At 42.3% G+C, this 19,725-nt stretch overlaps 1 protein-coding gene across 6 annotated transcripts in view; it reads right to left on the bottom strand.

Annotated features, from left to right (window-relative positions):
• Positions 1 to 331: 331 nt before the first annotated feature.
• The window catches only part of ACSM2B (acyl-CoA synthetase medium chain family member 2B), a 40,142-nt gene continuing 20,748 nt past the window's right edge, over positions 332 to 19,725 (bottom strand). For 3 of the 6 annotated variants that reach the window (NM_001410902.1, NM_001105069.2, NM_182617.4), the window contains 11 exons: positions 19,375 to 19,582; positions 17,883 to 18,026; positions 16,250 to 16,403; positions 12,500 to 12,579; positions 12,168 to 12,291; positions 10,500 to 10,580; positions 9,263 to 9,364; positions 7,241 to 7,368; positions 7,020 to 7,119; positions 4,760 to 4,879; positions 332 to 1,468 (listed from right to left, as the gene is read on the bottom strand). In NM_001410902.1, the coding sequence (NP_001397831.1) occupies positions 1,364 to 1,468; positions 4,760 to 4,879; positions 7,020 to 7,119; positions 7,241 to 7,368; positions 9,263 to 9,364; positions 10,500 to 10,580; positions 12,168 to 12,291; positions 12,500 to 12,579; positions 16,250 to 16,403; positions 17,883 to 18,026; positions 19,375 to 19,582 (1,346 nt within the window). In that variant the 3' untranslated portion in view covers positions 332 to 1,363. Of the gene's footprint in view, positions 1,469 to 4,759; positions 4,880 to 7,019; positions 7,120 to 7,240; positions 7,369 to 8,817; positions 8,929 to 9,262; positions 9,365 to 10,499; positions 10,581 to 12,167; positions 12,292 to 12,478; positions 12,580 to 13,717; positions 13,985 to 16,249; positions 16,404 to 17,882; positions 18,027 to 19,374; positions 19,583 to 19,725 lie in introns of those variants that run through there. The other 3 variants (XR_001751899.3, XM_047434056.1, XM_017023205.3) reach the window with 3 other exon arrangements.

Raw genomic sequence — 19,725 nt, forward strand, 5'->3', positions numbered from 1 at the left:
AAGTGCTTGATGAATGATCAATATTATTATTACTATTGTTGTTATTATTACTAAGTCTTCCTAAGAAGAGTCATGGGCTCTCAGAGAACCTTTGCTTTCTTCTCCTACTTACTTGAAATTGCTAGGAACATTCATCCTCCATCTCTGGGTTGTAGGTGAAGTCCTCATAGTGCTCACCTCTCTCCATCTCCTGGACCATAGATCTGGTGTCCCAGAAGCCCCAGGAATTGAGGTGCTGGTTGTTCTTTCAACAAAACCACCTCCCCAATCTCTCTCCATGGATTCCCCAACTCACAAGCTGTTGCAAACATACACTTACCTCATCCCTGTCTTTTTTTGTTTTTCCTAAAGACTATTGTCAGGATCTTGGTTTTAAAATTATTTTAATATTTGATTCTAGGAAGAGTAGATAACACCAAAAACATGAGGTATGGGTAGCTGATAACTTTGGCAGTGCTTACTTTGTTCTCACAGCTATGATCTAAGGTCTGTAGATGCCACACACAGGTGAAACAATGTGGTATTTATAATGTGTCTGGGTCAGTGCCTGGCACATGGCAAATGCTTAATAAATGGTGGTTCCCCTCTGACCCTGACAGTTTCAAGGTTTGGAGTGACTTGCGGATGATTCTAATGTCCCAGCCCCACACACAAGTCTTCCTGTATGGAGGTCTTCTCCTAGGGTAAAAGAAAGTACCACTTCTTTTCCTTTCATTTCCTTCTCAAGCTCCAGTTTTATGCTTGACTTTGTCTATCTGTGGGAATATTTATAGGTTTTCCTCTTTACTTCCCTCTCTTCCTTTCTTCCTGTCTTCCATGACTTTTCTTTATCAGTTTCTTTTACTATTTTTATTTTTACAATTTTTTTCTCTCCCTTTCTCCCTCTCTTTCTCCCTCTCTTTCTTTCTTGTGTTCTTTTGCTCTTTCTTCTTTCTCTTTCTCTCTTTATTTCTTTCCTTTCTTCTCTTTATTTTTCTGATTCTCCCTTCAATTATTTTTCTTCTATCTTTTCTCCCCCTTTCATCTCCTCTTTCCTTTCTTCCTCCTTCCCTTGCTTCCTCTCGCCTTCCCTCCCTACTTTATTTCTTTTTCAATTGCTTTCTCTTGCAGTTTTTAACATTTCCCTGACTTACTTTTCTTTCCTCTTTTTCTGTTACCCTCTCCTTTTCACTCTCTCTCATTCCTTCCCTTTCTTATTTCAATATCTAACATAGTAATGTTTTGTGCTAATAACCAGGGCAAGACAAAACTTACATTCATGTTCTTTCATAAAGAATCTCATATCATCATAGTAAGGCCAAGGGCCCAAAGGGAAAAGAAAGAGAAAGAAGAGGGGAATCCAAATGAATGTCTCCTAGACGCCTCACTGCGCACGGGCTTTTCCGGACATCTTCCACTCCTTGTCTCGAAGTTTGGTTCGTTGAATTTTCCCTGTGACAGTCTTGGGCAGGTTCAAGACAAACTCTATCTGTTGAAAAACAAATCAGTCCAGGGTGGGTGATCTGTGATGACAGTGGGTTGCATTTTTCAGAACTGCTGTAGGGTGAGGGGAAGTTCTTCAGGCTGGAGCCACTTCAGGGTAGCCGCCCTGTGCAATAAGAAGCTTCAGAAGGTGCTCTGGGATGAGGACAATAAGAGGATGGCTAGAATTGGGCATAAAGGTATTTGACATATTTTCAGACAGAGGAGGAGCAGCATAACAGACACACATGGCACAACAGTCAGCCAGCTGAGCCTTGACATCAGACTCTCTGGACCCCAGCTCCTCCTCTGCCAATCATCTGGCTTTCGCCAGGTCCTTGGCTTTGCTAAGACTCAGTTTTCCCACTGAGTAAGATGGAGGATAATAGCAACTTCATTGGGTGATTACATGGACCAAAGGAGATTATGCAGGCTAAGTTATTGGTATGGAGTAACCACTGAAAAATAATAGCTGTGGTTATTAATCTGGATTAATCTGAGGTCTTTAGACATGTAAGACATTTAAGAATTAGGATACCTCATTTTGAATTCCACATCAATCATTTCCTATCAATGTACCCTAAGCAAAATTATAATATCTCTCCAATTTCACTATTTGCTCTTGTTAAAAGGAATGTTTGAAGTTGAGGATCCTCTATCTCTAATATTCCCAAATCCAAAGATATGGATGATAAAGACGCCTCATTGAGGCTTCCAGTGATGTGGCTCAGTTGCCATGGCATTGATTTAAGCTTCAGATGGTCTCGAATTTAATAAAAATTAACGCTTTATTAACTTTAATTTAATAATAGGGATACTGAGATGGAGAAAGTATCTTCTTAGTGGCTGATATAAGAATTCTTCTATAAGTCAAGACTGACTTTGTGGAGAAGAGTTTATTCAAAACACAATGAAATGGAGCAGAGGTCAGCAAACTATGGCCCGCAGGCAAAATACAGCCCACTTCCTGTTTCTGTCAATAAAGTTTAATTGAAACAGTCATACCCATGCATTTAGAAACTGTCAACCTTTAGCATTGCCTGGGCAAAGTTGAGTAGTTGCAACATAGACCACATAGCCTACAATATTTACTATTTGGGCCCCAAAGGGTAGATAGAGAGTGGATGAAAGCCACAGGAGGTATCCAGATTTAATGCTAAGAAGGAAGCTACTCTGTTTGTCATGAAGAGAGAAGTAGAAAGGACTGGATGTAGTTGGTGAAAGGAGGGGGAGGGTGCAAATAATCTGCTGCCTTGAGAATTCTAGAGGAGAGACTTGCAGAAAGAGACACATCTATTGAGATATTTGAGTAAGACACTGCACACTGTGTGATAGGACTCCTTGACTCAGCATTCTACAATATTCAGTTATACTTAAACGTTCAGCATTATTCTCATTTTGCAAATAAGGAAACTGAGGAACGCAGAGGTTATCGAGTAAGTGGTGGAGGTGAATGTTGAACCCGACAGTCTGATTCCTGAGACTGTGCTATGCTGCCTCACTCTCAGAGGCTGCAAGTCCATGTGGTGGACTCTGATATGCAGCTAAGATCCTCCTCCAGGGACAAAGAAGTCCCACTCCACCACCAGACCCCTGTGGGGATTGCCTCAGCCAAAGACAGCTGTCTTGTCCAAGGTCACACTCCTTCCCAGGGCAGCCTACATCCATACCTGATCCACCTGTGACCGTAAAGACCCCCTTCCCTTCCTCACCTTGCCTTAGGACAACACTGAAAGGTTATACTAGCTCCAGAACTCCCATGGGATTGGCTGGAGTTCCCATTGAGACTAAGTCACAGTGCAACCTCACCGTCTGCTCAGTTCTGCTCCTTTCTTTCCCTTCCTCTCCCTTCCCCCAGGGGTTGATTCCAAAACACTCCCTAATAAGCCTCTTGCGTGGTAACCTCTTTCCCCATGGCCTGCTTCTCAGAAGACCTATGACAATTAGCCTGTGCTGAGGAAAGGCAGGTGGCATCTGGGCTACATAAGAATCTAAGGGACTCTAAGCTCAGCATAGTTGCTCTCACCTTCTACCCTAGACTCAATTTTTTTTCTTTCTCTGGGACAAGCTCCTATCTGGGACCCAAATCCAATAACTGGGTTCTCCTGCCTTGTCAACCTCTGTGCCTCAGTTCTCTGTCCCAGAATGAAAGAAGCTGAAAACTATGCTTTTGTCTTTTCTCGTAAGAACACTTCCCTTTTCCTGTGGGGAGCCACCCCTCCCTCTCAGTCCATGTCATGGGGTAGGGGAGCTCTCTCCCCCATCCCCCCTGCACTTTCTCTGAGGATGACTTGGCTAATCAGTGTGACATTGGCCTGGCTACAGGGATTCATTTAGCAATGGACACATGGCCCAAGTTGGTCCAGTGAGAGTCAACCCAGAGAATTTTGTTGAGGCCTTTGGAGAAAAACATGCTCATTTTCTACTGGAGTTTTCTAAGCTGCTGAGAATATATGTTTGGAGCTGACAGAGCCACAAAGAAAAAGCATTCCAAGAAATCAAGCCACTACAAAGGAAAGAGAGTCAAAGGGTGAAAGAGAGACACCTGACCACATCCTAGGAATGCCTGGGACTAGCCATAATGAAAGCTTTCTTCACCCCAGGACTTTTCAATTGCATGAGCAATAAATGTCAAGCTAGATTTCTGTCACTTGCAACTGAGCGTTGCACAACCCTGAATACTATAGCAAGAACCCAGTGCAGAGAATGGGAATACAGGTAAGATACTGGCTAGAACTTATTCCCTTGACAGCATTTGGCTTTTGATTCAGAGTGAGTCAAAAGCTGAGGTCATTTTTCAGGCATCAAGATAGTTGCTAGATTGTCTTTCTGGGCTTTCTTGAGCATAGGAAGAGTTGTTTTTTTTTTGTTTTTTTTTTTTGTTTGTTTGTTTGGTTTTTTTTTTGAGACAGGGTCTCACTCTGTCACTTAGGCTGGAGTGCAGTGGCATGATCTCGGCTCACTGTAACCTACACCTCCCAGATTCGAGCGATTCTCATGCCTCAGCCTCCTGAGTAGCTGGGATTACAGGCACATGCCACTACACCAGGCTAATTTTTGCATTTTGGGTAGAGACGGGGTTTCACCATTTTGGCCAGGCTGGTCTTGAACTCCTGCCCTCAGGTGATCCACCCGCCTTGGCCTTCCAAAGTGCTGGGATTGCAGGTGTCAGCCACCATGTCCGGCCCAGGAAGACTTTTTAAAATTAGAAGGCTGTCCTCCTCCTGAAGAAGATAAATATAACAGGAAAACAATCTATTTCTCAAGTTTGAGTGACTTGGGAGCTCAAAGGCCTTACCTTTCTTGGGTACTTGTATGGGGCTGTCACTGACTTCACATGCTGCTGCAGCTCCTTGGTGAGCTGTTCTGGGTCATGGGATAGGAACTGCGAGGCCAGGATCACAAATGCCTTCACCACCTGCAAAATAGATGAAGGCCAAGAGATAAGGGATTAGAGTGTGTAGTCATCTCCTGGAATAATGTGAAATTAGCATTAAGACTTGCATCACCCTTGTATCTACTCATTTGCACCCCCGGTGATCCAGGTCAAGGGAAAGGGAGAAACTGGGGACAAGAATGAGGTTCCAGCTCTCTCTGAAGTCGTTTATTGGAGGAGCAGGTGGACAATAGATTGAGACCAGGCTCACCTCATGCTCCAAGGACAACAGAGACAGATGAGGAGAAAGAAGATACAGGGGGAGAAAAGAGAAAAATAGACTGAAAACCATAACCCTAAACAATGTGTTAACTTCTCCAAACTTCAGTGTTCCCGTCTGCAAAATGGGGATAAAATAGCCAAATTCAACTTATGGTAACTAAAATGAAATCATATACAGCAGGGCTAGCTCAGAGCTGGGCACACAGGGTTTTCTCAGCAGGGGATCACCCTTGGCCTCACTGCTCAGTGGTTCCCATAATTTTCTGTGTGATGTGTTCTGTACGTACCAGAGGTATGATAGTGCCAGGCTTACACCCTGCGGGAATGTGCTAGGACACTGATCCACACATCCCACCTTAATATTTTCCTACACACACATCAAAGTCCACTAGACCCCATCTGAGCCTATTTCTATAACCCTGGCTTTATAGGGGTCTTTCTTTTTCCCTTTATTTTCACTGTGAACTCTGTGGCACAGGGGCTCTATCCTTTGGCTCAAATCCCTCCTCTGTGCTTCTGGTCAGGAATAAGACTCTGATTCAAATATCAAACAGCAGGATAGAATCCTTCCAGCCTCATCAAAATAGACATTATATAGTACTTACTATGTGCTAGGCCTTGTTCCAAGCACTTCACTTTCTTTTTTCCTTTCTTTTTCTTTTTCTTTCTTTTTTTTTTTTTTTTTTTGAGACAGAGTCTCACTCTGTCACCCAGGCTAGAGTGCAGAGGCGCGATCTCGGCTCACTGCAAACTCCGCCCCCCGGGTTCATGTGATTCTCCTGCCGCAGCCTCTTGAGTAGCTGGGATTACAGATGCCTGCCACCGTGCCTGGCCAATTTTTGTATTTTTAGTAGAGATGGGGTTTCACCATCTTGGCCAGGCTGGTCTTGGACTCCTGACCTCGTGATCCATCTGCCTCAGCCTCCCAACCAAGCACTTTACTTTCTAAAAGTTTTTATCATTTCATAATATTTGTACATATGTATTGGGTACAAGTGACATTTTGTTACACGCAAATATGGTAATTATCAAGTTAGGATACTTGGGGTGTCCATCACCTTGAGTATTTATAATTTGTGTGTGTTGAGAACATTTCAAGTCCTCTCTTCTAGCTATTTTGAAATATACAATACATGGTTGTTAACTATAGTCACCCTACTCTGCTATTGAACATTCGAACTTATTGCTGCTAACTGTATGCTTCTACCCATTCACCAACCTCCCTTCATCCCCCACTTCCCCACCCACACACCCTTCCCAGCCTCTGGTATCTATCACTCTACTCTTTATCTCCATGAGATCAGCTATTTTAGCTCTTACTTATGAGTGCAAACACGTGATATTTATTTTCTGTGCCTGGCTTACTTCAGTTAACATAATGACCTCCAGTTCTCTCCATGTTGCTGCAGATGACATGATTTCACTCTTTTTTAATGCCAAATAGTATTCCATTGTGTATATATACCACATATTATTTATCCTTTCATCCATTGGATACTTAGGTTGATCCCATATCTTCGTATTGTGAATAGTGCTGCAATTAACATGGGAGTGTAGACATCTTTTTGATATGCTGATTTCTTTTCCTTTGGATAAATACCCAGTAGTGGGATTGCTGGATCATATGGTAGTTCTGTTTAGTTTTTTGAGAAATCACCATACTTAAGTACTTTACAAATATTAGCACATTTAACCCTCATAACAATCCCTCATCTTACAGATGAAGAAACTGAGAAACAGAGAGGCCAAGTAGCTTACCCAAGGTCACATAGCTAGTAAGTGGCAGGGCCAAGATTGGGTCTCAGAGTGTTCAGCCCCACAGTCCCTGTTCTTAAACCATCATACTACACTGCCCTTGTGTTCATATCTGTTCACCCCCAGGCTACTGCTTCCCCATCACCTCTCCTCGGACGGGGTCTGGGCTGCTGATCACAGCCGTCTCAACCACAGCAGGGTGCTTCATCAGTGCATTCTCTACCTCCGAGGGTCCAATCCGGTACCTGCAGAAGAACCTGTCCTTCAGAGAACACTGGACACCGAACCTCTAGGCCATTCCGGAAGTCTGGAACCAGCCAGAGTAAAGACCCAGATTTCCCTTCCCAACCCAGAAACCAAGCTCACCCGCTGGAGTTAATGATATCATCTGCCCGTCCCATAAACTGGAAATACCCATCTTCATCTTTGATTCCCCGGTCTCCAAGGAGCCAAAAGTCTCCTCGAATGTTGGCTGCTGTCTTGTCGGGATTTTCCTGGTGACCACAGAAAGACAGAGTCATTGTGCCTGCAAAGCCTAAATCCCCTGCCCTGGGGCTGCCATGAACAAATGCTATGAGTCTTATTAAAACTGCAGGTGTGCAGTGTATAACCTGAACATGGCAGACATGCCCTGAACCAGCCAACCCTAGGCCACAGGCAGAACTGGATTTTTCCCATTTATTGAAGTTATTCCACCCAGGGTGTCTCAGCTACTCCTCTAGGTCCAGTCTGATGGATATTATTGATGTATTCATTCATCCATGCTTAGGGCATTTTCCCCAATTGATTCCATCTCTCCTTTCATAGATATCCTAATCTCTGTTCACTCCATAGCACCACTCAAAGCTATCATTTTGATTAGGTACTTTTCTTAGCTTCTTTGTAAATTTGAAAGTTCTAGAGACATTAGCCAGGAAGCCCCCTGGGACCCTGGCTAATGTGCATATTTCTACAATAGCTGGGTCCCTCTATTCAGCTGAGGCACTTGCTTATAAGTAATGAAAAGGCTTGAGCTTTATCCCTTGTCAGTGCATCTTCCTATCTGACTCAGGTATAGGGGCATGGGCTCCAGACTGGAAGTTCAGTTACTGGATTATATATGGTGGCATAAAGAATTCTTAGCCTCACTCCATCATTGGGAATATAGGGATACTGATGATCAGAGACATCAAGAGTTTAGTCTGAAGCTAAACAGCCATTACAGAAGGTAGAACTGAGACCAGAAGCCAGGGTTCTTGGCTACTGGATTGACTTTCTCATGGGCATCATGGAGCCTCTGTGGCCTTAGGAATCTGCCCCACAGACGCTTCTGAGTCTGTTTCCTTTTTTATCAAATGGGGAGAAGCCCATGACATAGTACTTCACTGGCATTTGAGAATATAGTGGGACCTCACAAAGGAAATGCTTGGAGAAGGGGACAGTGTGGCTCTGCCCTGATCGCTGAAGCTCAGTTTTCCTCATCTGTATAATAGGAATAATCATTTGGATCTACAACAATTCTTTTATTTAACACACTCACGACACACAACTTACAGATGAGGAAACTGAGACATGACAGATAGGTAACTTCCCTAAGATCACGCTATACATAGTAGAGCAGGGTTTTGAACTCGAGCAATCTGAGTCCAAAAACTTTATAGGGTGGCTGGGAGGATTAAACGAGTTGAAAGTTTAAATGAGTTTAAAGTTTAAAAATTAAATGTGTTTATACAACAATGCTTGCCTCATGGTATGCATTCAATAAATGGTAGAAACTATTATTATTTGATTTATTATTTATTTAGTTTATTAGTCAATTATCTCAGGGATCAGAAGGCATGCCCTTGGGTTCTTCTCTGTCCACTTTCTAATGGTTGTGAGCTTGAGCAAGTCTTGTAATCTCTGGCTCCACCATCCTCACCTGTCAAGTGAGGTGGCCAGATTCAAGGATTATCTGTCTTTACCTTCCCAAGATCTGAAGATAGGGATTCCTCCAACTAGATGGTGAAGTCTCAACGTAAAGTGCCTGGCATGGCTCTAAAGAAGATCAACGGCATAGATCATGGGGATGATACCTAGGGGAGAGGGAAAGGCAGCCCTTGGGGGAATGGTGCTGTGTATAGTTCAGGGTCAATAATATTTTGGGCATGAAACAGAGAGTTCTTGAGGAGTCTAAGGGCTAACTGAAGAAAAATAAGTCTTCCAATGAGATCACAGTGATAGGCTGAGGATGGCAAGGCTGAATAGCCACTTTTCTTCCACTGGCAAAGCATACATTCTTGAAAACTGGACACTCTTTGTCTCCATATCTAATGCCTCTTGGAAGTTTCAGAACATTTGTCCTCCCTCATCCCGTTTAGTGCTCCCATCCTCACTGGGGAACAGAGGAGGAGAAGCACAGTTTCTCACCACATAGCCAGAGAAGATGCCTATAGGCCTGATGGGTTTGACCCTGATGCCAATGTCTCCTTCTGTGCCGGGGGGCAGGACGTTGCCCTTATCATCTATAACCTGGAGAAAGAAGCATATTGGAAGAATGACGCACACAGCAGGAGATGGCTTCAATGGCAGCAGGAGATTGCTGAGTTGGTCAAATGAAAGACTCTCTTGCTCTAGTGGAGACTGAAAACGACAACCAAAAACCAAGGGAACCCAAGAGTCTTAAACTCAGATCTCTGATCCACCTGCCTGGAATAGTTTAGGTGAATCCTTTTATTGAGACTGGCCCAGATGAGCCTGGGGAGATGCTTTTGGCTCTAGGAGCTCAGATAAAATAATAGCCTCCTCTTACCTTTGAGACCTACCTCACCTGTGGACTTAGAAATCGGGCAGATCAAAACTCAAATTTACTCTGCTACCTTACTAGCTGACTTTGAACTACTTAAACTCTTTGCTTCAGTGCTTTCACCCATAAAACAGAGATACTGACAGCTTATTTCACAGGATTTTTATAGGAATGAAATAAGATACTAAGAAAGGGGCTTAGCAAATGGTTATCATAGTGAATGGCATGGCAAGTAACTGGATATGACACTGAATAGCGTCTAAGTTACACTTTAGATATACAGAACTATACACATAACACAGATACACAAACACAAATTCTAGTTCTCAAAAAACAACAAGAGAAAGCAATAAAACTTTAGCTACTACACATTCATTATAGTGTATTTTTACTAGTGAAAACTGGGACATCATCCCTTGGTCCGATAAAAGGCATAAACAGCAGTGGATACATACTATTTAATACTATATCATCATTAAAAATCATGCTGCAGGTTGGCATTAATTGAACTGAAAAGATCGTTACCTATATTGTTAAATGATAAAAGCTAGTTACAAAATATTATGTCAAGATTCACCCCATTTTTGTTTTTAAAGCATATATACTTGTATACTGTCTAGCTAATTTGCTAGATATTCAAAGTGAGTCCTTCTGGATGGTAAGAATATAAATCATTTCTCCTTTTCCTCCTTCCTTCCCTCACTCTCTCCTTCCCCCTAACCTCCCTCCGTCCCTTTTTTCTGATATTATCTTAATATCAGTACTTTCTATTATTTTTGACTCAATAAACAATGGAAAACATAAATTACTGAAAATCAGTGTTTCCCCTAACTTCCTCCCTCCTCAGTGTCCCGAGCAAACCTGTACATCATAACAGGAAGCAGCCGTTCCCATGTATCCTGGTTTGATTTTCATTGTCTTGGAAACCATGCAAGTTAATCCCTGTGGAAAGAAGCAGACAGATCAGCAAACCTCAGGAGGAGGTACAAGGTCACAGAAAAAGAAAAAATTTCTGCAGAGCGGGTCCTGACACTGTCCTGAACTTGGCCTGCACTTGGTGGCTCCCCCTGCTCCTCATTCCCTGGCTCTCTCCCCATTACTGGAATCACAATCCTAGGGGCCTCACTAAATTGTTTGTTCAGGAAGCAACCCATCTACCACTCCCCAGGAAGAGGACCTAACAATCACATTATAATCTCTTTTAGGGGGAGTCACATTTTAATACGACGCTATGGATACCCAAAGCCCTTGCAAACTATATGGAATCACCAATATGCAATCTGTAAGACCTAAAATATACTTACTTTTATTTTTATTTTGAATTTTTGTGGTGTATCTATTTATGGGATATATGAGATGTTTTGATACAGGCATGCAATATGAAATAATCACATCATGAAGACTGAGGTATCCATTTCCTCAAGCAGTAAAATATACTTTTTAAAGTATCTCCCATGGCAGCACCAGTTCTGCTTGAACCCTGAAATGAACCTTCCCAACAGAATAACAGATGAGTGGTGGATGCCTCACTGACAGAGACACAGATTGTCATTTTCTCAGATCTAGCCTGGACACCAGATGTCACAATGACCCATCTTTTCCCGCCACCCACTGTGCTGGAAAGGGCAAGTTGATTGACCCACCTCAGAAGAGAGGCTGCTGAGTGATTAAGATCATGGGAATCTGAGTGTCCTTGTAAGCATATTCTAAACATGTCCTCCTCTGAATGGTGGGAGGCCCCTGCCAGGGTATGCTTGCCACAACTCCATTGTCCTTATTCATATTTGCAGAGCTCTTCCTGGCTCTTTCATACCACAGAGCTGCCATCAACACTCTGCAAAAGTTCTACCAAGGGTACTCATTAGCTAAAGAAGGATGCAGGGTAAGAGAGTGGAGAGGAAGAGGCAAGAAGTGCTGAGAGTCACAAGTAAGAGGCACTGGAAAAAGGAGAAGAAGAGTTGGGGAAAAGTATTCCCCATGTAGTTTTGATAAGTAAAATAGTATAGAATAGCATAAATCCACATTGTGCACATGAGACCTCAAGAGTTCCAAGAAGATATGTCAGGAGGTGCAGTAAAGCCATGGTGGGTTCTTCTTCCCATTCCTCACTTCAGTCTAAGCAGCTTTGTACAGTGCTTGACATGTTTGATAAACTTTGGTCTCTGCTAAAATGTTTCCCCATCACAGAGGAACTTTCTGACTACCATATGTGATTTACCAACTTCTCACCCCATCTCATCTACTTTACTTTTTCCATCGCATTTCTCACCACCTGCCATGCTAGATATTTCTTAGTTTATTGTCTCTCTCCCCAAATCTCACTGGAATGTAATCTCCCAGAAAACAGGAACTTTGCCTTTTTTGTTCTGTGCTGAATTTTCAATACTCAGTACCTGTCCCTTCACAGAGGCTCAATAAATATTTCTCAAATAAATGAATGATACATGGTGGCTAACATGTTTTATTGTCAAAGAGAATTTTGAAGCCCAAAAAGTGCACACAGCCCATGGTTCCCCTGGGAACAGGTACCGTTTCTGTCTGGCCATAGAATTCTCGGATGTCCAGTCCTGTCTGGGCCCTCCAGTTCTCCAGAGTTTCTGGAAGAAGGGACTCCCCTCCAGCGAGGCAGTTCTGTAGATGGGGGAACTTGTAACTGAAGAAGAGAAATAAATGTTTGCCCTCAGCCTCCCTGGAACCAAAGTCCACTCAGGCCTAGACTTGGTTTCTGGGTGCTTTGATGATGCAAATGGCTTCATGGGGCTCTCTGTGTGCGAGAGATTCAGATAGATAGGCATGAATGTATGTGAGGGAGTCAGGGGGATGGGGCCAGACTCTCTTACCAATCCTCAAAGCCCCATCACCTGGAAAGATCCTGCTGTAGCAACATCCGGTAAACAATAGGGGCACCCATCATACTCTTGATTGGATAACTGGAGAGTGTCTGGAAGACAAGAGCCAGGTGAGACATTGGTCACCAGGTCAAATGCCAACTTATGGCTATGCACAGTGGTTACAATTGTGAGCTATGGAGTTGTAGAGGTCTGGATGAAAACCCTAGCTTGTTTACTATGTCTGATTCAAGTTAAATGAGCCCCACAACTCTCATGCACCCTGAAGGCACAAATAACAGGGAAATGAGTACATATTATTGTAGTGAAAAAGTCTAAGGCTAATTTGAAACATTTTTGTCAAATCCTGGATGTCTGTTCCTGCCAGTTTAAGACTTGCCCTCATTAACACACCCCTAGGAGTATATCACCCCCCAGCAACCAAGGGAAGATCAGCTGCCTGAGTACAGCAGCTGTCTTGGTTGAGTCCCTTAACTTTCTGTAGCCAGCTTTATAATAGATTGTTTCCAGCCTTATTTTCCTGAAAATATTTTTGGGATATATTTTAGATATAAAAGTTCTTTGAAAAGCTAAAGACATCTATAGACATTTCAAAACAAGTGCTACAAAAAGACCTAGTACTGAATACTTGCCATGTCCTGTGTTACCTCATTTAATTTTTCCAATAACCTCATGGAGTGTGCGCTATCATCCTCATGATACAGAGGGGAAACCCATGATGTACAAGGTTAAGTAGCTGCTCCAAGGTCACCTAGTCAGCAAGTAGTGGGATCATTATTTGCAGCATGTATTCCTGTCATATAACACCATCTCCATCCCATGCTTTTCTTTATGCAGAATGTAATAGAGTATTGTCTTAATCTGTTTTCTGTTGTTATAACTGAGTACCCGAGACAGAGTAATTTATGAAGAAAATAAATTTATTTCTTGCAGTTCTAGGGGCTGGAAAGTCCAAGGTCAAGAAGCTGCATCTGGTGAGAACCTTCTTGCTGATGGGGACTCTGCAGAGTCCCAAGGAGGTTCGGGGCATCACATGGCAAAGGGGCTCATGAGGTAGAGCAAAACTGGCTTTTGGTATAACAGACTCACTCTCCAAAACTAACCCACTAACATGATAAACTGTTAATCCATTAATCCCTCATGAGGCCCAATCATCTCTTAAATGCCCCACTGCTTACTACTGTTACACTGGGGATTGAGTTTGTTGATGAAAGGAGCCAAACTCTGTAAAATATTTGAAGAGATTTATTCTGAGCCAAACATGAGTAACCATGGCCATGACAGAGCCCTCAGGAGGTCCTGAGAACACGTGCCCAAGGTGGTCAGGGTGCACTTTGGTTTTATACATTTTAGGGAGACATAAGACATCAATCAAACACATTTAAAAAATACATTGGTTTGGTCCAGAAAGGTGGGGCAACTTGAAGCGGGGGCTTCCAGCTTATAGGTAGATTTAAATTTTTTCTGGTTGACAATTGGTTGAGTTGATCTAAAGACCTGGGATCAATAGAAAGGAATGCCTTAGTTAAGATAAATAATTGTGGAGACCCAAGTTCTTATTTGCACAGGAAGCTTTTAGGTACTGACACTAGGCTTTTTAGACAGAATAGGTTTTAATTTTTTTTTATCAGACTTAAAGTCTATATTGATGTTAATACCAGAAAGGTATAATGAGGCATGTCCCACTCCGACTTCCTGTCATGGCCTGAAACAGTCTCTCAGGTTAAATTTTAAAAGAACCCTGGCTGAGGAGGAAGTCCATTCAGATGGTTGGGAGGATGGGGCCTTAGGATTTTATTTTTGGTTTACAAGTTTCATCATGAGTTTTGGGGGGCACAAATATTCAAACCATGGCAATGGTTTAAGCAAAATGTCTAGAAAAAATGACAAATGTGAGTATCATGCAATAATTTCCTTCAAATGTGCTTGATACACAGATATAAGCTATGAAAATGATCCCATATTCCTTATTGCTTTGACTTACTAGAAGCTCAACTTGCAACTACATACTCATTTGCTATATTTCTCCTTAATTTCCTTAGTCTTTTCCACCCTACACCTCCAACCTATATTTTCCTAATGGGCTTTATAAGTTTATGTCTGTTTTCATTTTTTTAATGGTGGAACTTATTAAAAACCAGTTCAAATCCTTTTGAGAAGGACACAGAGTAAGAATTTGCTTAAAACAGAGAATGACAGTATTATTTGAAGATAATTTCCTATGAAAATCCAGACCACACCTGGCTTTTTGACTTTTGAAGACGTCATCTATGCCTTAGCTTGAACCTTTGCTGCAGCCAAATAGATGTCTGGATGGGCCATTAGAGATCTGGGGGCACAGCAGGGAAATAACCCAACCCCTCTATCATAGAGTCCAACATAGGGTGTATCTTCATAAGCAAAATGAGGTCATTTTCATTGCTTTGTTGCTACAGGATAAAGCATAGCTGCAGTTTGTGGGTCTTATTTAATGGCTGTACCATCAAGTTCTATAGGAAAAAATTCCACTTATTCTTCCGAATTGCTTCTAGAAAATCATCTTAAATTGGAAATAACCCAAAGTTCATTAACAATAGGATGGGGGAACATTTTTACAGATTCACGTAATGGAATACTATGCAGCCAGCTAAAAGAACAAACATCTGATACATGCAACACATGGACTAATCTCACAGAGAATATTTTGAGTAAAAGAAGCCAAATGAAAAAGATTATATATAATGTTGTTCCATTTACATGAAATGCAAGAAGAGATAAAATTAATCTATGGTGATAGATATCAAACGAAGGATTAACTTATGGGGGGCAGATACTGTCAGAGAAGGGGTATGAACACCTTCTGCAGTGGTGGGAATGTTTCATGTCTTTATCTGGTGGTGTTTACAGGGGTGTCTGATATGAATTGGATGTTGTGTCCCCACCTAAATCCCTATATTAAAGCTCTAACCCTCAACTTGATGGTATTTGGAGGTGGGGCTTTTAGGGGTAATTATGAAAGATAATGAAGCAGGTGCCCCAGTGATAGCATGAGTGTCTTTATTTTTAAAAAGGAAGATATACCAGCACTGTCTCTCTCAACCATGTGAGAATATAGCAGTAAGGGAGCCATCAACAAGCCAGGAAGAGAGGGCTTCCCCAGGAATCCAATTATGCTGGCACCCTGATCTCAGACTTACAGCCTCCAGAGCTATGAGAAGTAAATGTCTGTTATTTAAGCCACCTAGACTATGGTATTTTATTATAGTAGCCCAAGCTGACTAAGACAGTATCTAACACAGCTAAATTATTTTCAAACTGTACACATAGGATGGTGGCACTCTGTGCACTTTACCTTCAGTTTGTGTGTTATGCTGCAAATAAAAAAGGAAATGAAATGTGCACTCACAAACACACACACACACTCATGAGAGCGAGATGGCATCCCCTCCAATACTCCAGTTTTCCCTTTTACATGTGGTTCACCAGCATCTATCTGATAGGTGACACCAGTGGAAGAGCCCATTACATTTGTTGAGTGAACAAATGACCTACAATATCTTTCTCCTGAACATACTCCTTTTATCTATATATGTGCCTGTCTCCTACCCCAGAACATGAGCTCTGCGAGGTCAGGGACCATTTCCATCTCGTTTACTGAACACTGTTCTCCACATGGCAGAGGTTTAGCAAAAATTAGATGAATTGAAACAAACTACAAAAAATTGAAGTGTGCAAACCTCGGGCTCACTCTGAATAACTGCTGCAAACTGGATCCTCTCTTACCTTTAGAATAACCAGTGGGTCAAACTTTGGCAAGAGATGAACAAATGTGCATGCTCCTAATGTCCAAGATTCCAAAAGTGAGCCCAAGATGTTCAGTATCCAACCTGTGTCTGATATGGTCCACATTATATCAGAGGCTTGCAGGCCTGTCCAACTGAAAACACAGACAAAACACATGTACATATAGGTGGGTGCATGCTTAGGATGCGTGGGACACTAAGGTGTAGGGGAGGAAAGGGAGGTGTGTGTGCAGAGGTGTGCGTGTATCTGCCTGCAGGTTTATAGGCATATGTTTAAGTATAAGTAGGAAGGGGGAAGAAAAGTTGTTCTGTCCACACATCCTGCATTGATAGGAGATGAATGTTCGGAAGGTGGGACCCCAGTTGACATGACTTAATATATAATTGGGTCTCATTCTCCTCTTAACTCCAAAACTCCGTACAGTTTCTGGCATGCATGTGGTAACCACCCAGGAAAATTTTACTAACACAAGACATCTGCATGGCAAATATTCTAACAGATGCCTTGCCAAGTTCAAGTTTGGCTGAATAGAACTTTGCTTCTCTTTTCTTTAAGTACTGCAAATTGCCCATAAAGCTGATGGTCTTGCACTAAGTGAACTCATCCCTTTTCTCTTTTCAGGGCAGAATAAAAGGTTTAGGACTTTCTTAAAGCAAGAATGATTTAAGCTAGACATGAACAACTTCCTTGTGACGGGAACTGCCATAGTGTATCTTCTTTCCTGAAGATGATTAATACTTTCAGCTCTGTAGGGAAATTAGGTCATAGTACAAGACTTCTCTAAGTCTCACTTTATATCTGCAAAAAATGAGACCACTACCAAATTTTTTGGGGGAAGGGGAATTTAATATCTTAGTTATATTTAAGTAATTTATCCCCATCTTTTAGAAACTGCCTTTTACTGCAGCTCTTCTATTGTATAATTTTTACTAACTTATTTATTTTTCTGTCCCTATGGGCTCATAGATGGAACATTTACATTTTCCATTTTTTGCATTAATGTATCTTCCCATTCTAATAATAAAATTAACATGGAAGGTGGGATCTACTAAAACAATTCTGATGATTTATAGATATCATTGCTTGAATACCTTGGCACAGTGTTTCCTGATTCCACAAATGGGATTAATGTATCAGTGGGAAAAAAATGCTCAACTATGGGGTCTGTGATCCAGAAATCCTGAGATCTTTGTTCACAAATTTATCCAATTATATCTTCCACTTCAGTCAATTTGCAAAGTAATTTGCTGCCGACAAAAACTGCCCTCTTGGAGTGTGGGCGGTATCAAAGCAAATTGCCAGCATCCCAAAGAACAACATAGAGATCAGCCTGGGGAAATGCACGTAAGCCTTTTGCTAATCATTCACCCTGCTAGGCACATGGCTTAACACATGGAAGAAGTTTTGAGACCCTGTGTTATCTAAAATATGTGTCCCATTGAAGGTACTTGATACCCAGCATGTGAAGCCATGTCCTCTTTAGCTTTCCTTCTGAATTTTCTTTCTCAGAACCACAAGGTGGTGACACAGCCCAGGAGCATTGGATTTGAACTCAGAAACGTCTTCATGCCTGGTCATGCAATTCTCTGTAGAGAGAAAGAGCTCAGCTTACCCAGCATCCATCTTGGCCTTGAGGCCCAGGCTCGAGTAGGAATGTTCTGCCATCTTGGGAAGACCACTGGTCCCACTAGTGAAGTAGATGGCAGATGCTTCCTGGCTTCCAGTCTCCACACAGTGATGAGTGGTGGATGCCTCACTGACAAAGACACAGATTGTCATTTTCTCAGATCTAGCCTGGACACCAGATATCAAAGTGACCCATCTTTTCCCACCACCCACTGTGCTGAAAAGGGCAAGTTGATGGACCCACCTCACAAGAGAGGCTGCTGAGTGATTAAGATCATGGGAGCCTGAGTCAATCAGAGTTGGGTTTGAAAACTACTCAAGTTTGGCACTTTGTTATCAATGCAACCTTAAACTACTTATTTAACTTCTCTGTGTCTCACTTTATATCTGCAAAAAAGTGAGATCAAGTCTTATAGAGTTATTGAGAAAGTTAACTCTGCCACCAAAGAAATGAGCAACTTGCTTAGCAAGAGCTCAATAAATGCTAATCTAATTGTTGTGAAGAGCCCTGGCATGACACCAAGTGGACAGGAGGGGTGGAATTAATACGAGTTTTCCAAGTACTTTCTTGGCACTCTCTTCTATTCCCTGGAAGCACCTACATATCTCTTGGACATCTCCAGTGTCTTGATTTTGAACCTTTAAAAGCAGGCATGATGCTATTTATTTCCATGACAGCTACCTTAAAGACCATGGCATTAGGAAGGAAAAGCTGAAGTTTTCCCTTCAAGTTTCCTATCATATGTGCCCCCGCTAGAGGGATTTCAGACATGTTGACAGAGAAAATCATTAATCCAGCCAGTCTTGCTATCGGCTTTTGGAAGGACTATCAAGGTCTTTCCATGCTATCAACACATGGAAAGGCCTCTGACCTTGATCAGCCTCTCTTAGAGATACAAGAGGTGGGAAGAAGAGCCTAGAAACTTGGTATATCAGCCATCTCTTGGGTTTTCCCTCATGACCTTGGCCTCACCCCTGATTTGAGTCATAGTTCCAGTAAATTGTTCTGGGTGGGTTTCAACCCACTTGGTGTTAACACCATGTTGTTTCCAGTGTGCATCACGAGTGATTCACTTTGTGCCCCATAGTTTCTCTGTTTTACCATAGCATGGAACTCTGACCCACTCTTCACGCATGAGTGCGCAGCCCAGAAGTGTGGAGGCAATAACACCCCCAGGACAACCCTGAACCTGTGAGGACCAGATGCTAATGATTCAGTGCTTTTCAATCCTTTAGAGGACAATCCTGGGAGGCATTCTATGTGCTGCTCAGAAGGTCCAGGCAGATCAAGCCCCACTTAGTCCTTGCAATGACTTGAAAAAAAAAACCCTTGTATTAGCTTTTATTTCTTCCCAGCTTCACTCTTCCTAGTCCCATGCTGTTCTTCCTGCAACTCCTCAATAAAGCACCTGCACCTAAGTGCTTGGCTCTGTTTCCAGTTTTAGTTAAAACCCAGGATGAGACATGTAGATACTCACTTTAGTAGTTTCTTGAAGTTCAGCCACCCATCGCAGCTTTTCTCAGACACCAGTAGCTTAATTCTCAGAGAAGGACATTCAGATGCCACTGTGTCCACTTCTTGGATGACTTCATCCCCAGCAACAATAGCCTTGGCCTTAGACATCTGCAACCTATACAGTATGTCAGTGGATTTCATCTGGATGGTTCCAGGCATAAAGATGAGACCTAAAGAAGCCAACAATTTAGAGAATTGGAAAGGATGGTTTTCTTTGTCCCTAGAGAAGCCTGAGATAAACATCAAGCAGGGAGCAAGTGGGGAAGGAGAGGATGGGGAAGTAATGACCAATGGAGAACGTCAATAAAAAAGG

Source organism: Homo sapiens, chromosome 16 (assembly GCF_000001405.40).
Source record: "Homo sapiens chromosome 16, GRCh38.p14 Primary Assembly".
NCBI lineage: Eukaryota > Metazoa > Chordata > Mammalia > Primates > Hominidae > Homo > Homo sapiens.